This window comes from Homo sapiens, chromosome 21, assembly GCF_000001405.40.
Source record: "Homo sapiens chromosome 21, GRCh38.p14 Primary Assembly".
NCBI classification, from domain to species: Eukaryota; Metazoa; Chordata; class Mammalia; order Primates; family Hominidae; genus Homo; species Homo sapiens.
In genome coordinates this window covers 44,519,684-44,536,431 of record NC_000021.9, presented here as the reverse complement: position 1 = coordinate 44,536,431, position 16,748 = coordinate 44,519,684, and the positions used below count along the sequence as shown (strand labels likewise).

The window sequence follows — 16,748 nt, the reverse complement described above, 5'->3', positions numbered from 1 at the left end:
CTAAATCTCCCTAAATCCCAAATAGAAACAGAGAGAATTACCAGATAGAAAAAGAAAAACCCATGGGTTCCATTTAGGACAGAACTTAATGGCAAGATATCACCCAAGGGCCCAAAATGCGAGTGGGTAGGAACCAGGCCCAGAAGTCAGTGTTGCTGAGGTCTGTGCCGGAGGACGCCGAGGGAGCACTGGCAGGAGCAGCAGCCTGAGGATGGGAGAAGCCCAGCACCGCCCGGAAAGGGGGCCAGAGTGTGAACAGCCACTGCAGCTGGGCAGGCCCCTCCTCTCCATCAGCCATGGAACACAAGCGGCTGCAGGAAGAAGCCTGACAGGGCTGGACTCTGCCACTGTGAACTCTTGAGTCTGAGCTACCAGGGCTTCCTTCCACAGAAGAGTCCCTCTGTCTCCCAACCTGAGGGTAAGGAGCTTGGAGTGGAAGCAAAGTTGGGCAGAACAGAAAGTCCACTTCCAATGGAAAAAGACCTAATAGCCCCATAGATAGTTTTTTTTTTTCTTTTTTCCTTTTTTTTTTTTTGATAAACATAGAAATTGATCCTTCTGGTCTTAAAGCTCAAAACTTTGCTTTATCTGTAATCCCAGCACTTTGGGAGGCCGAAGCGGGCGGATCACCTGAGGTCAGGAGTTTGAGACCAGCCTGGCTAACATGGTGAAACCCCATCTCTACTAAAAATACAAAATTAGCTGGGTGTGGTGGTGTGCACCTGTAGTCCCAGCTACTTTGGAGGCTGAGTCAGGAAAATTGCTTGAACCTGGGAGGCAGAGGTTGCAGTGAGCAGCTACTTCCAGCACGCTACTGTGGGAATACTGCAGGCAGTCGCAGTGTACAAACAGTGTATTCGTGTTTCTAAACACAGACACGATACAGTAAAACGTCAGTGTTACAATCTTACAGGACCACCATCCCCTGTGCTGTCCACTGTCAACTGAAACAGGCTCTGGCCGTACGTGACTGTATGCTGTCTAACTGTTTTCATACCTGCTTTACCTTTCAGGCTTAATCACTTTCAATTCTTTAATTGTGTTGGGCTAGGAATGAATGGAATCTAAGTTGGAAATAAGTATAATCAAGTGCTTTGTTTCACATAACCCAAATTGGAAAGGAAGCCAAAAAGCTCTGAGGTCTTGGTGGACACCGCATTTGTATACGTTCTTGTTTTTTAATTGTGGTAAAATACACGTAATGTAAAATTTACCATCGAAACTATTTTTAAGGGTACAGTCAGTGGCATTCAGGACATCCATGTTGTTGTGCAGCCATCACCACCGTCCATCTCCAGAACTTCTTCGTCTCCCAACACTGAAACTCCACACCCATTAAACACTTACTCCCCATCACCCCCCAGCCCCGGCACCTACCATTCTACCTTTTGTCTCTGTGAATGTGACCAGTCTAGTGACCTCATATAAGTGGAACATCCCCAAGGTTCATCCATGTTGCAGCATGTGTCAGCATTTCCTTCCCTCTTTATGGCTGACTAATATTCCACTGTGTGGTTGGACCACACTGCGTTTACCCATCCATCCGTTCGTGGACACTTGTGTTGCTTCTACCTTTTGGCAATTGTGAGTAAGCCACTATGAACATGTGTGTACAAGTATCTCTTTCGATTCTTTTGAGAATGGACCCAGAAGTGGAATTGCTGAATCATTTGGTCGTTCTGTTTATAACTTTTTGAGGAACTGCCATCCTGTTTTCCACAGTGGCTGCACCATTTTACATTCCCACCAACAGTGCGCAAGAGTTCCAGTTTCTCCACAGTGTCGCCAGCATAACACATTCTGTTCTTTGGGCATTAGCCATCCTAGTGTGTGGGGGTGCCTTTGGGTTTTACCATGGACCCGTGCTCCTGACTAAGCCGGTCCCTACGGCCTGGCGCCAGCCTTGCCCCTGGCCCAGCAGCCCTCCCTCTCACACATCAGCCCTGTCACATACCAGCCCCACCCCTCACACACCAGCCCCGCCCCCTCACACCAACCCTGCCCCCTCACACACCAGCCCCGCCCCTCACACACCAGCCCCACCCCTCACACACCAGCCCTGCCCCACACACACCAGCCCCGCCCCACACCAGCCCCACCCCTCACACACCAGCCCTGCCCCACACACACCAGCCCTGCCCCCTCACACAAGCCCCACCCCTCACACACCAGCCCCGCCCCACACCAGCCCCGCCCCCTCACACACCAGCCCCGCCCCCTCACACAAGCCCCACCCCTCACACACCAGCCCCGCCCCCTCACACCAGCTCCACCCCTGGCACCAGCCCTAGCGCTCCATCAACCCCATCCCTCCCCATTAGAGGGCTAATTAGAAGGCCCCTATCCACCCTGCCCTTCCCATCCACCGCGCCCCCTCACCTCGCCCCTCCAGTCAGCCCCTGCTCCTCTCACCACCTGTGCTCATCACCTCTGCCATTCCCATCTGCCCTGCCCCCGCACCCGACCCCTACCCCCAGCCCCGTCCTGAGCCTGGCCCGCTCTCCACAGAGGAACGAGTACCTGCTGACGGTGGTGGCAGAGGAGAGCGACCTGCTGCTGCTCGGCCTGCGGTTGTCACCTGCCCAGCTGCACTTCCTGTTCCTTCGCGAGGACACGGCCGGCGCCTGGCAGACCCGAGTGTCCTTCCGCAGCCCGGCCCTGGTGGATGGCCGCTGGCACACACTGGTCCTGGCTGTGTCCGCAGGCGTCTTCTCCCTCACCACGGACTGCGGCCTCCCGGTGGACATGTAGGTACCCACCCGGGGAGGGTGCACCTGCAGTCCTCAGAGTCCTGCCAGGCCAGGCATCCTTCAGCCGTGCTCGCCGAGCAACACCTGCAGGAGCTGTCCTGGGGCAGGAGCTGACCAGGGTCAGGAGCCATGGGGTGGAGGGGCAGGAGCCATCCACGGGGCAGGAGCCGACCAGGGGCCAGGAGCCATGGGGTGGAGGGACAGGAGCCATGGGGTGGAGAGGCAGGAGCCGACCAGGGGCCAGGAGCCATGGGGTGGAGGGGCAGGAGCCATCCACGGGGCAGGAGCCGACCAGGGGGCAAGAGCCATTCATGAGGCAGGGGCTGACCATGGGAGGTCAGGTCAGCGTCCGCGCCAGCCTCTGCAGGGCTGCATGGGGTGAGGCAGGCTCACCATCTGTGGGCAGAGTGGACATTGGCGAGAACAGGTGGTGAGTGATGCCCTGGATTCGGGCTGGAAGGGGAATGGGCCTCTCCCGCGGAGCGTTTATGAAGCACACTCCTGTCAAAACCCCGATTTTAATGTTTCTCCACGCCTTAAACACAAAACCCGCTGCACATCAGAGTCAGTGGCTTAGAACAAGGTAAGGGCGATCACACCAAGCGCACTCCTTTTCCAGAAGTAGCTCAGGGGACTTGGCAGGGGACCGGCACTGTGGGGAGGGCGCTAACATCACAACAGGCAGCAGCGGGAAGTCAGAGTAACTCCTTCCCCAACCTCCAGGCTGGAGGCCGAGGCCTGGCTCCGTGACTCCACATGGCAGGTTCCTCGTGGACGAGGGAGCAGATGTTGACAGAAACTCCAAATGAGTACAAGATTATCCTTTGTAGCCTTGGACACAATGGGGGCTTTTGGAAGCCGAGTTCGTTTCTCGTTTTTGCCGTCGCCTGGTTTGTGGCCTGACGGTAGGTCCCCTGGACAGGAGTCCTCAGTCCCCTAGCTCGGCCAGTTGGTTACCCATGTCAGGATCTACCACTGTGGAGCAGGGCTGCGCTTCTGTCTTTTTAATTGCAAATGATCCAGTTTATATTAAATCTATTAAATATTAAATTATTTCGAATATTACTTTCAAAGGTAGGATCTTCTGTTTTGTTATGAAACTTATCGCATAAATATTTTTATTATGCACTTAGCTTAAACACACTTTTATCAGAGCCTCTCTCCCACCATACCCCAAACTCTTTAGGGCCCTCAGGACGGTGATGAGTTCTCAGGTCCTGAGAGCTGGAAGCCTCCCAGGGACGTGCTGTGCAGGCTGAAGACAACCTGACCTAGCAGCAGCTTCCCACCCCGTAAAGAAAGTCCTGGCTGGACGTGAATGCTGCCTGACTTCTGGCTTTGCCACAGCAGCTAGGAATGACGTGGCGGCAGCGCCTGAGGCCTGGACAAACGTTCACCTGCCTCATCAGGAGAAAGGAAGAAATCAGGGTCGAAAGCATAATGATTAGGAATGTTCCCCGAATGTTTTAAAAGTGGACTTCCTGGGGAAGATGGTGGGACATGGGGAGTCACAGGCCTGGAACCAATTGTGGCCACGGAAGAACTTAACCCCTTGGCAGGCTGCTACGGAGGGTACAGGCCAGGGCTTGGGGGCCAGCAGCCTGGACCCTAGCAGAGGCCGAGCTGTGTGCAGAGGACGGGGCTTTCTGGGACAGCAGGGCAGGAGCTGAGCTCACCACGGCCAGCTGCAGCCAGATGGCAAAGACTGGAAGGAGCAGGTGTTTTACAAGAGACAGTGGCAGCGTGGGCGGGAGGCGAGCCCGAAGGCACCCCTGCTCTTCCGCCCAGGAGCTCTAGCCACGCTGTCCCTCAGCGGGCACCCACCTTGCTCCATCTCCGGAGTTCAGCCTCCACGCACTCGTCAAGACCGCCTGCTCCTGACACCCTCATGGGTCACCAGCCTCCTTCCTGTCCTGAAGCCATCTGTCCCAGCACCCCAGGCCGGGTGATGGTGCAGGAGCTCAGTGGAGGGAGGGTGAGTGGGCTGGAGGACCCTGTGCAGGTCGAAGCCACTGCACGTTCACCATGAGATAGGGAAGAACCACTAAGCATGTCACCACGCACTTCTGCAGGAGGCCCTGGCCCTGGGGTGAAGTGCCCCCCCCGAATTCATGTCCACCCAGCACCCGTGAATGTGACCTTACCTGGAAACAGAGTCTTTGCAGTCATCAAGTCAAGCTGAGATCATCCTGGAGTGAGGCGGGCCCTGCTCCAGTGTGACTAGGATCCTTACCAGGAGACAGATACTGGGAGAGTCGGACACTGGAGCGACATGGCCACAGGTCACGGGGAGCACGTGCAGCCACCAGAAGCTGATGAGTCGAGGAAGCGTCCTCCTCTGGAGCCTTCGGAGAAACCCTGCCCCAGCCTGATCCAGGCTACTGGGCTCCAGAGCTGTGCAGGCGATCAGCCCTGTGTGCCATCCTTTGTGTGGCAGCCACAGCACAGATGCACGCTGCTTAGTGAGGGGCTTGTTCCTGTTCCTTCTGTGAGTAAACTGGGGTGACCACTCTCCTATGGCCCTAACACAGTCCTTTGATATTTTCAGAATGGCCGATGTGCCCTTCCCAGCCACCCTGTCAGTGAAAGGAGCTCGATTCTTCGTCGGCAGCCGGAGGAGAGCCAAAGGCCTGTTCATGGCGAGTATGGAGGGGCTGCCTTCCCAACACCCGTGCTGCGGGATGGGACTGCCCCAGGCCAGTTGTCCTACTGCTCTAGTTGACAGATCCTTGGACGTGCTAACTGGGAAAAGAAGGTACAGCGTGCGTGGAGTCTCTACCACAGGGCCTTCACGCTTGCTGTTTCCTCCTGGCACCCTCCTCCCTGATGGTCTTGGGTCCCTGCCCAACGGTCCTCTTCAGGCTGCCCCCACCATGCTGAGCTGATGCCCACACTCTGCCCTGCAGCCCCTTCCCCGGAGCTGTCTTTCCTCAGTAGGGCCTGCTGCTCTCAGGCCAGCTGGGTGTCTGCTCGGTGCCTGTGTCTCCACTCACGTGTGAGTGGGGACCTCACTCCATGAGGCTAGAGGCCTTTGTTCCCTGCTGAGTCCAGTGTCTAGAGCCATGCCTGGCACATAGCAGATGCTCTGAATATTTATTGATGCATGGTTTGACAGATGGATGGGCAGATGGAGGGATGGACAAATGGATGGATGGATGGATGGATGCGTGGAGAGATGAACAGATGGAGAGAAAGATGAATGGATGGATGGAGGGATGGATGCGTGGAGAGATGAACAGATGGAGAGAAAGATGAATGGATGGATGAATGGATGGGTGGATGGAGGGATGGATGGATGAGTGATGGATGAATGGGTGGATGGATGGATGAATGCATGGATGAATGGATGGGTAGGTGGAGGGATGGATGGATTAGTGATGGATGAATGGATTGGACTGATGGATGGACAGATGGATGGATGAATGCATGGATGAACAGGATGGGTGGATGGGCTGTTGGATGAGCAGAGTAGCCAGTCACTCTAAGTTCACATAAAAAACCCCTTCTGTGGTTCAGTTCCCTCGGAAGGGGGGCAATTCTTCACCATTGCTCCCATGGCCTCCTCAGTAACCATCATGTAAACTCTTCCCAGTTAGCTCTGCAAAAGCTTAGATTCCATCCACCCGAGCCTCCTCCGGGCTCTGGATGGGCCAAGCTCAGTGGTCGCCTCCTCAGCGGGTCCTTCCCCAGCAGCGCGGGCCTGAAGGAGCTGTCCCTCTCTCTGCAGGGACTGGTGAGGCAACTGGTCCTGCTGCCGGGCTCAGACGCCACCCCAAGGCTGTGTCCCAGCAGGAACGCCCCGCTGGCGGTGCTGTCCATCCCACGGGTCCTGCAGGCTCTCACGGGGAAGCCAGAAGATAACGAGGTGCTAAAATATCCCTATGGTTAGTAGGGGGGCCACCCGCCCCCACACCAAAGGCAGATGCGAGAGCCCTGGCCTCACACCAGGCGGGAACTCAGGGCTCAGCTCTCAGCCCCTCTCGTGTGCCTGCCCCCCTCATCACTGCTACGGGGGGCAGCGGTCATATTGGCCAGGGGGATACTCGGGGCCCACCCCTAGGAAGGCAGGCGGCACCATCAGACAGGCCAGTGTCATCCTGCCCTTCCCTCCAAGCACTCCCACGACAGCCATCCAGCCCCTTCCTGGGGACCCCAGGCAGAAAACAGGCCTAACTTACTTTAGAAAGTCTGTCCAGAGCTATCTGACATCCCTCATCCCCTTTTGCCCCCCAAGGACAGCGTTTGGGCCATTTCTCCCCACCCCGCCTCTGTCCCACCATCATCCAGACCAGCCCGCCCCAGTCGGGCCCACTCTGGCCCTACACTCACGTCTTCCACGATCCCCCGGCCCAGAGGGCCTCCCCGCTTGATTTTCTCTTGTGTGAAGTTACAAGGGTGACTGTATTTATTTAAACCACACTCCTGCCATGGAGAATCTGAAATGCCCCTCCCCGCCGCATCCCCACTGCTCTCAGCCAACCCGAGGGGCAGTGAGGTGGAGAACAGCCGAGCCCCCGAGCCTCAGGGTTAGCGGTTACCAAGTAGGGGAGCCCCCACCTCCAACACATCCGGGCCGCATGGTATACTGTGTCACACCGCTGGCCAGCACCGGCTGGCAGGTGCACAGATGTCCCACATAGAGTCAAGAGGTGGCAGAATTAGGACCCATGGTGGGGTGTGATTACTGGAAGTGATGAGATCAAACCGCCACAGGTTCAAGCCAAGCCGTCGTTAAGATACACCACTGTCAACAGGGACTCCCTCCTGAGGGGGGACCATGCCCTGTGCAATCGCTGAGGACTCTCAGAGGAGCAGGCCTTTTCTGCCTCAATGGGATGGAAAGCCACGCCTTTCAGAGTGGACAGAGGGTGGGCTGACCATATAGGGGGCATCATGATGTCCTTCGTCACCGGTAGGCCAGGTTCTCAATTCCCCGTCTGTGATGTGGCAGGCTTGTGCCAAGGTGCCTGCAGGGGCCCTTCCAGGCCCGCATGCAGAGGCTGAGGCAGGGCAGCCTGGTTTGGGGGCCTCTTCCTGTGTCGTCTTCCTTTGGGGGCACTGGCTTGCTGGAAACTCATCTTCCTGGTCTTCCCCTCAGAAACCAACATTCGAGTGACGCTGGGACCCCAGCCACCGTGTACCGAGGTGGAAGACGCCCAGTTCTGGTTTGATGCCAGCCGGAAGGGCCTGTATCTGTGTGTTGGCAACGAGTGGGTCTCCGTGTTAGCAGGTGAGGCAGCCCTGCACCCGGGGCGTTGGCATGCAGGGCCACTCTGGCACAGTGTGACTGGGAGTGGAGGCTAGGAGAGGGGGCACCTCAGCCACCTCTGAATGACCTCAGGCTTGGCCGTCAGGCTGGGGCACTTCTAAGAGTGAGAGGCAGCATCAGTCCTGACCCCCAAAGCAAGCAGCGGGCAGGACACTGCCCTCCCTAGAGCCACAGGACTCAGCCACAGGCCCTCCTCAGGGCAGGCACCACTTAGGACAGGAAACTGCCCCACCAGGAGCCTCGAGCCTGTGCATCTCAATTGGAAATGTGAACCTCCAGGGCATGACACACGGGCTGACAGGGCTGGGCATCGCGTGGTACCCCTTCCCAAACCATGGGAAGACAATGCCTGCCTCCCTGCAGCCTCCTTGGTAGGGTGGCCCGGCTGCCGCCTCTGCCCACACCCTCCCTGTCTGCTAGATCAGAGATGAGATCCAAGGAGATGACGAGCCTGAAAGGTTATTTTTACAGAGAGCCTTCTCAGCAGTCCGTTCCCGCTGCTGGGGAGGTGAGTGGAGGTGGCGATAGATGCTCCAGACAGGTTACCCGTGGGAAATGGGCATGGGTTCCGCCCAGCACGTGTGTGAGCTGCTCTCTTTCACATTATCGAGAGCACAACTTGCCGTAGAAGCAGTGAGCCTTTTAACAAGGCCACAACCCACAACATGTAAACTTCACTGGGGGCTGCACAGATCACAAAGCCCCTGGCAGCAGTGAGTGGCCTCCCTTTGACAGGCCTTTCCTGTGAGAGCGAAACGTGGAAACTGATGCCCGAGGCTGAGGCGCAGGAGTCGTGGCTTGTGACTTGGGGCTTGGGAATCGCGCTCCCGCGAGGATTGCTCTGGATTTCCGTTCTCGGAAATCTTAACCGAGTCACAACGTTTCTATCACAAGCCAAAGAAAGACTGGACTACGTGGAGGAGCATCAGAACTTGTCCACCAACTCAGAGACCCTGGGCATTGAGGTGTTCCGCATCCCTCAGGTGGGGCTCTTTGTGGCCACAGCCAATCGCAAAGCCACATCCGCCGTCTACAAGTGGACCGAAGAGAAGTTCGTCTCATATCAGAACATCCCCACGCACCAAGCACAGGCCTGGAGGCATTTCACCATCGGGAAAAAGGCAAGTCTGTGTTCGGTGACTTTCTCCATCCCCTTTCTCTTGGAAAGCCCCGAGTCCACAGGCGGGGCCCCCTACACTGATTCTGCAGGTAAAGGAGTTTCTCACGGTGTCACCTCGTTCAGGCGGTAAAAGGCTGACAGAGTCGCACACGTGAGCCCACCACCCTAAATCCAGGATGTGACTTTGAGGCAGTCTGCTTGGCTCCCGCAAAACGGACGACCAGACCATTTCCCACATGCCATCTCGTTCTACATAGACCCCTCGTCACTACATTTAAAACCTGTTGAGAGTGTTTACATGAGCTGGTCAAGAACCCACAAATCGTTTCAGAAAGACACTAGAAAATGGACATTCCTGATCCTTCCTTTCCTCAAATGTTGAGGACACGTGATGTCCACATGCAAGGCTGAGGCCAGGCTCAGGGGAGCCATGGGTGGGACCTCGCAGGCTGACAGCCACCTTCCTGTCAGGGCTGCTCTGGGCAGAGGGTCGAGGTGGTGGGTCTGGGAGATGGTTGACATCCCAATGGGAAGGATGGGGTTTCCTCTTCCCAGCTCCGTCCACTCCCTGGACTCTACACAGCCATGTCCTAGAGACAGCACCTCCTGACTGCCCCCAAATAGTCACTCACTGGCCTACAATGTGCCAAGGAGGCCCACCAGGCCCTGCCTGGACACAGGGCTAAAGCAGTGAACACAGCAGATGGAAACTGCTCTCCTGTGGCTTACAGCCACCCTCATGCAGGCTGCATTTGCATCCAGCATGGCGGGTGAATAACTAGTTGGTTTTTTTTTTTTTGATTGATGACATCATAAGGTTTTAATTTTTTGTTATAAAAAAAACTTTGCATCAAAGAACAATTGGAAAATTCAGAAAAGCAAAGGGGACAATATTTTGTTCCATCATCCAAGCAAGTACGTAGGTTCATGTGGCGTCCTTGCCTCCAAGCACATCGTCCATGAACCATGCACCTTGCCCCTCATTCTGTATGTTCACACAGCTACACTATGAGCCCTGGGCACATTGCGCCATGTTCATGTTTTACACACATTGCCCTGACACAGCTTTGCGTGGTGATCACACCCATAACACAGGAGAGCAGGTTGTGATGCGTTTTTCTGGTCATCTGGGTTATGAAGAACATTTTTGTGCATAAAGCTTTTCCTGAATTTGGGAATTTTGGCTTTTGTGTTTTTGCCTTCAGATAGCAATAGAAGTGGAAATATTGGGTAAAGAATATGGACATTTTCAAGGGTCTTGATGAATGTAATGACCGGCTCTGCGCCCACCCCACCATGATGACCTGTAATGCGGGGGCCTCGGTCCTCTGTCCCTGCACCACGTAGCAGCCGTGGATCTGGAGAGAGATGCTGATGTTCAGAAGCCTTCAGAAACCAGGCCGCTGGCACCGACCCAAGCAGAACCACGTGGTCCCGGTTTACTCTCTTTCAGATCTTCCTGGCAGTGGCTAATTTTGAACCAGATGAGAAGGGTCAGGAGTTCTCTGTCATTTACAAATGGAGCCACAGAAAGCTGAAGTTTACCCCATATCAGAGCATTGCCACACACAGCGCCCGAGACTGGGAGGCCTTCGAGGTGGATGGGGAGCACTTCCTGGCGGTGGCCAACCACCGGGAAGGTAGGGCAGGAGTGGCCTTCACACCGGGAGGCAACCATTCCAGGGGCAGAGCGAGACTTGCAGGCAGGGCGAATGTGTATCTTATTAGAAAACAATAAGCCACATGCAGCACAGGGTGAACATGCGTTCTGGACCGTTCCTCACTGTCTGGGGGAGGGACATCTACTGGTGGTCCCTGGGGCACCTGCCCACAGCACAGCCACCCCAGAAACATGGACTGCCAGACTGACTCCCAGCACAGAATACCTGCCAGCCTCCCTCCTTGTCTGAAACTGACTGACTGACTAGCTGATTAACTACCTAACTCACTGACTACCCGACTGACTACCTAATTACCTGATGACTGACTGCCTGATGACTGATTGACTAAATTACCTGACTTCTTGACTAACTACTTGACTAATTACATGACTAACTACCTGACTGACTGATTGACGACCTGAATGACCAACTACATCACAGACTGACTGACTACTTCACTGACTGACTGACTGACTAACTACCTGACTGTCTGACTGACTACCTGACTGATACCTGATTGGCTGACTGACAACCTGAATGACTAGCTGACTGGCTAACTGACTGACTATCTGACTAACTACCTGACTGACTGACCACCTGAATGACTAACTATCTGACTGGCTGGCTGGCTGACTGCCTCACTGACTGACTGACTGACTGACTGCCTCAAAGAGTGACTGACTGACTGACTGACTACCTGAATGACTAACTACCTGACTATCTGACTGACTGACTGATTACCTGACTAACTACCTGACTGGCTGACTGGCTATTGGCTGACTGACTACCTCACTGACTGATTGACTAACTACCTGACTGTCTATCTGAATGACTACCTGACTCTCTGACTGACTACTAATTACCTGACTGACTACCTTACTGACTGATTGACTGACTGTCTCACTGACTGATTACCTAACTACCTGATTAACTGACTAGCTGACTGACTAATTACCTAACTGACTAACTGATGACTAACTACCTAACTGACTGATGACTGACTACCTGACTGACTGATTACATGACTAACTGGCTAACTACCTGACTAACTGATTGACTGACTACCTGACTACATCACTGACTGGTTACCTTACTGACTACTTGTCTGACTGACTGACTGCCTGACTGACTACCTGACTAACTACCTGACTGACTGACTACCTAACTACCTGACTGGCTGACTAACTAACTGACTCATTGATTGACTGCCTGACTGACTACCTAATTACCTGACTCTCCCACTAACTGACTGATTACCTGACTAGCTACCTGACTGGCTAACTCATTAACTGACTTACTATCTGACTGACTAACTACCTGACTGTCTGACTGACTGAATGATTAGTTGACTAACTACCTGACTGGCTGGCTGGCTGGCTGACTGATGGACTACCTCACTGACTGACTGACTGACTGATGGAGTGACTACCTGCCTAACTACCTGACTGTCTGACTGACTGATTACCTAACTACTTGACTAGCTGACTGACTACCTCACTGACTGACTGACTATCTGACTGACTACCTGACTACCTCACTTATTGACTGATTGCCTAACTACCTGACTGACTGATGACTGAGTGACTACCTGACAACTGACTAACTACCTGACTGATGACTAACTACCTGACTGACTACCTGACTGATGACTGGCTACCTGACTAACTACTGAACTGACTGACTGACTACCTCACTGGCTAATTGACTGACTGACTGACAAACTACCTGACTGATTAATAACCTGACTCATGACTGACCAACTACCTGACTAGCCACTGAACTGACTGGCTGACTACCTAATTACCTGACTAACTGACTGACTGACTGACTGACTGACTACCTCACTGACTAACTGATTAACTACCTCACTGACTGGCTGACTGATTAACTACCTGGCTGACTACCTGACTGACTGACTGATGACTAACTACCTGCCTATCTGACTGGCTGATGACTACCTGACAACTGACTACCTCACTCACTGATGACTGACTACCTGACTGATTAACTACCTGACTGATGACTGACTACCTAACTACTGAACTGACTGACTGACGACCTAACTGACTGACTTACTGACTGACCATCTCAATGACTTAACTACCTCAGACTGACTGACGACTGACTGCCTACCTGACCGACTACCAAACTAACTGCCTGACTGACTGATTACCTTATTAACTACCTAACTGACTACCTGACTAACTACCTGACTACCTGACTTATTAACTACCTAACTGACTGACCAACTGACTACCTTACTGACTGACTGACACAACTGACCGACCACTTCACTGAGTGACTACCTACCTGACTGACTGACAAACTGACTGACTGACTGAATACCTCACTGACTAATTGGCTGGCTGGCTAACTGACTGACTGACCAACTACCTGACTGACAAATTAACTGACTGGCTGACTGACTACTTCACTGACTAATTGGCTGGCTGGCTGGCTGACTGACTGACCAACTACCTGACTGACAAATTAACTGACTGGCTGACTGACTACTTCACTGACTAATTGGCTGGCTGGCTGGCTGACTGACTGACTAACTGACTAACTACCTGGCTGACTGACAAACTACCTGACTGACTACTTGACTAACTGTTTCAGTGACTAACTGATGACTGACTATCTGACTGACTGACAACTGACTGACTGACTACCTCAATGACTGACTGACAGACTAAGCAGCCTCCCAGCAGGAAAGGTCTGACCAGCACAGGGAGGGCAGATGTTGGGTGGTGGGCCCAGGCCCATGGCAGGGATGCTGGCCTGGTGCCTGGCATGGCCAGGTGTGTGGTGGAGGACAGCTGCCGAGGACATGGGATCTGGATGGCCTCCATGGCCTTGTTTCCTGAGGACAGGCAGCTGTCCCGCCTTGTGCCAGCAGAGACAGTGAGGAGCACTGGCCTGGAAGGTACCGGGACACCTGCTTTCCAGGCCAGGACACTGCCCTGAGCGGCCACCATGAGTACCTGCCATTGTGTAGCTCCACGAGCCGGCCTGGGTCTGGGGGCATCTCTCCGCCTGCAGGACCTCCCAGACCCAACCCTGCCCAGGCTCCACAGCTCTGCACTCCCCTGAGCCCACGACCCACCCAATGGGGGAGCTCCACAGTTGAGAGGGAGGGGCCTCCGGGCAGAGGTGGCAGTGCGTGGGAAGGCCTGGCCTGTGGGGATGCTGGAGAGCCGTGGGCAGCGGGGCCAGGACACGGTGGGCCCCACCTCCAGGACACGGGGAGGCCATGGAGATGTACACCTGTCCCAAGGGCGGTGGGGGCCACCAAGCATTTCCATATGGGAATAGCACCTGTGATGGCCCAGAGGTGCAGTCAGCAAGGGGCTGAGGGCGGGAGGCTCAAGGTAAGAAAGGATGTCCCCAGCGGTTGGCCTTGTCCTCGTGGGTCTTCGGTCCTCGGGGAGGGACTTGGACTGGGCTCTGCCTCCGTCGGGGCTGCCATGGGGCTGTGGAATCTGCCTCCCTGCCCCCAGCACAGTCCCTTGGTTCCAGGCGACAACCACAACATCGACAGTGTCATCTACAAGTGGAACCCGGCAACCCGGCTCTTCGAGGCCAACCAGACCATCGCCACCTCCGGCGCCTACGACTGGGAGTTCTTCAGTGTGGGGCCCTACTCGTTCCTGGTGGTGGCCAACACCTTCAACGGCACCTCCACCAAGGTGCACTCGCACCTCTACATCCGACTCCTGGGCTCCTTCCAGCTCTTCCAGTCCTTCCCGGTAAGGCCCCCCGCATGAGCCCCGGCTCTCCATTGCTGGCCACTGCGTCTGTCACCTGCACCTGCTGGACAGGTGATGTGGGCTGGGGGTCCACCGAGAGCCAAACCTAGTGCTGCTCTGCACCCGTGACCCCAAAACCCAGGCAGGGCCTGCTCCTCTGGACGGCACAGGATCCTTGCCTGGCGTCTGAGCCCTTCTTGCCTGAGAGCCTCTGTGCGCCCAGGGACAGTCCAGGTGCCTGGAAATAAGGCAGGAGGCGCACCCTGGCTCTGCCCCACCCTGGCATGGTGTTCTCCATAAAGCAGCCCCCGGGCTCAGAACAGGCCCTCCCTCCCCTTGGAAGCTCCCGCGGTCTAATCTGAGTCTGTATGGTCGTCAGGGCCCTGGCCCTGGGGCAGCTGGGCAGCTTGGCTCTGACCCAGGGCAGCGTGGGGGCCGGGTCGGGGCAGCACGTGGCGCTCCTCTCCAGGCCTCAAGTGTCCCTTGGCTGGTTCCAGCCACCACGAGACCTTTGAGTTGAGGCAGCAACAGGTGCTTATTAGGCCACCTCCAGGGGCAGGGACAGCGTGCTGCCTGCTCCCAGCAAGTGTGCTGAGGACTGTGACCGGAGCAGAGGTGCGGAGTACGAGACAGGTGGGGGCGCATCTCCCACCTCGGGCTCAGCCTCTATGTGAGCCCAGTTCCCCGGAGGAGGCAGCTCAGGGGCTCTGCAGCGCCGGTGACAGCACTCCCACTGTTTGCTGGAAGCGTGCCTCTCATAAGACATCACCTCCCTGGTGTCCTTCTGGAATCTTCTGTGCCCCCTGACCTGGCGACTCATTCCCCTGCAGAAATGTTCTCAGGGCCTTCTGCACCCGAGGCAGTGAGACTAACCCAGGCCACTCTTGCCACGTGAGCTGCCCCCATGCCACGTCCCAGTGAGGCTGGTACAGGGGCAGAACCATGGCAGACGCTGATGCCCGGACCCCCCGCCCCCATCAGGGAGTCTGGAAAAACAGTGACAACAGTCAGGCCTTGCCAGGCTACCCCTGCATTAGACAAGAAGCTGTGCATGTGGTGGGTGGGGCTTTATGGCTGAAATGATTGAAGGCATTCTGGAACATTCCATACATAACATTCCATACATACATCTCATTAGAGCAAGCCTGCAGGTAGCACATGGGAATGAGCTTCAAAACAGAAGGGAGGAAGATGGAGTTCAGCAGTCGCAGGTTCCTGGAGCCCCTCCACCCAGCAGGAGTAAGAGCAGCTTAGGAAACCGGGAGTGTGACCACCTTGAGAAGCCCGCAGGGGCCGGACCAGGAGCCGCGGCTCACAGGGACCAATCACACGCCTTAATGCGTGCAGAGAATTGCTCCGGGACTCCCACGTGCTCAGCCCTCTGGCAGGCTGGGGCACAGCGTCATCCAGGTGACCACCGCCCCACCCTTCGGGCACTCATGGTCCAGTGGGGAAGGGCAGCTTTACGTGGATGTTCAGGGCACGAGGAGAGCAGATGTCAGGGAGCACCCTCCCCACTTTCCCAGCCCTCACCAGGAGGAAGTGAGGGCTGGGAAAGTTGGGAGGGTACCTGCAGGGCAGTGGGGCTGGGAGTAGGCAGCAGGGTCACCACCCAGAGCCACAGGCTGCAAGTGAAACGTGAAGCCTGCCCTTGTGGGGTTGACAGGGCTGCACGATAATGACTGGTCGGTGGCTGGGAGGGAGTGAGCCATTGGGAGGCTGCTGTGGCCGCCCAGATGAGCCGCAGGCGCCCAGGTGAGGAGGCAGCAGTGCCAGAAGGAACACACCTTGAGCTCGCTAGTGCTGTGGATGGAACAGGTGAGCGTGCCTGGGAGCCAGGAAGAGGCGGGATGAGCCTCCTGCCACGGGGGCAGAGTGAGGCTCAGTGCACTGGGATTGGGGGTGAGCAAGATTCCTTCCAGCCATTGGCCTTGGTAACAGCCTCAGGAGGTAGGTGGTGGTAGCGGCTCACACTGGCTGAGCCTCGACTCTGTAGAGCACCTGTGCCAAGAGCTCTGCCCGCATCCGCCCACATCACCCTCACAGCACCTTGAGAGGGGCTTGCTGCCACTGGTCCCTGTTATCCACAAGGACACAGAGGCTCAGAACGGTGGAGGGCTTTGCCCGTGGCAGAACTGGGATCAAGCCAAGCAATGCGGCCTGTCACTTGGTTTGATGTGGCACGGGACAGAGCTGAGC

General features: G+C 55.7%; 1 protein-coding gene and 1 long non-coding RNA gene across 3 annotated transcripts in view, besides 1 other annotated feature; one reads left to right on the top strand and one right to left on the bottom strand.

The window, feature by feature from the left end:
• TSPEAR (thrombospondin type laminin G domain and EAR repeats) overlaps positions 1–16,748 on the top strand; it is a 213,680-nt gene that overhangs the window by 175,141 nt on the left and 21,791 nt on the right. For both annotated transcript variants that reach the window (NM_144991.3, NM_001272037.2), the window contains 7 exons: positions 2,509–2,747; positions 5,299–5,389; positions 6,478–6,634; positions 7,849–7,980; positions 8,914–9,140; positions 10,593–10,779; positions 14,320–14,549. In NM_144991.3, coding sequence (NP_659428.2) covers positions 2,509–2,747; positions 5,299–5,389; positions 6,478–6,634; positions 7,849–7,980; positions 8,914–9,140; positions 10,593–10,779; positions 14,320–14,549 — 1,263 coding nt within the window. The remainder of the gene's footprint in view (positions 1–2,508; positions 2,748–5,298; positions 5,390–6,477; positions 6,635–7,848; positions 7,981–8,913; positions 9,141–10,592; positions 10,780–14,319; positions 14,550–16,748) is intronic.
• Positions 3,250–8,923, bottom strand: LOC124905038 (uncharacterized). The gene is made up of 2 exons (XR_007067905.1): positions 4,895–8,923; positions 3,250–4,147 (listed from the first exon to the last, which is right to left on the bottom strand). It is a non-coding gene; the product is annotated as an uncharacterized LOC124905038 (long non-coding RNA).
• Positions 16,135–16,684: an enhancer, noted in NCBI's record as "H3K4me1 hESC enhancer chr21:45939631-45940180 (GRCh37/hg19 assembly coordinates)". NCBI's record gives its function as "activates a minimal SCP1, AML or CMV promoter by ChIP-STARR-seq in naive H9 embryonic stem cells {active_cell/tissue: H9 hESC(naive)}" and the evidence as "EXISTENCE:reporter gene assay evidence [ECO:0000049][PMID:30033119]".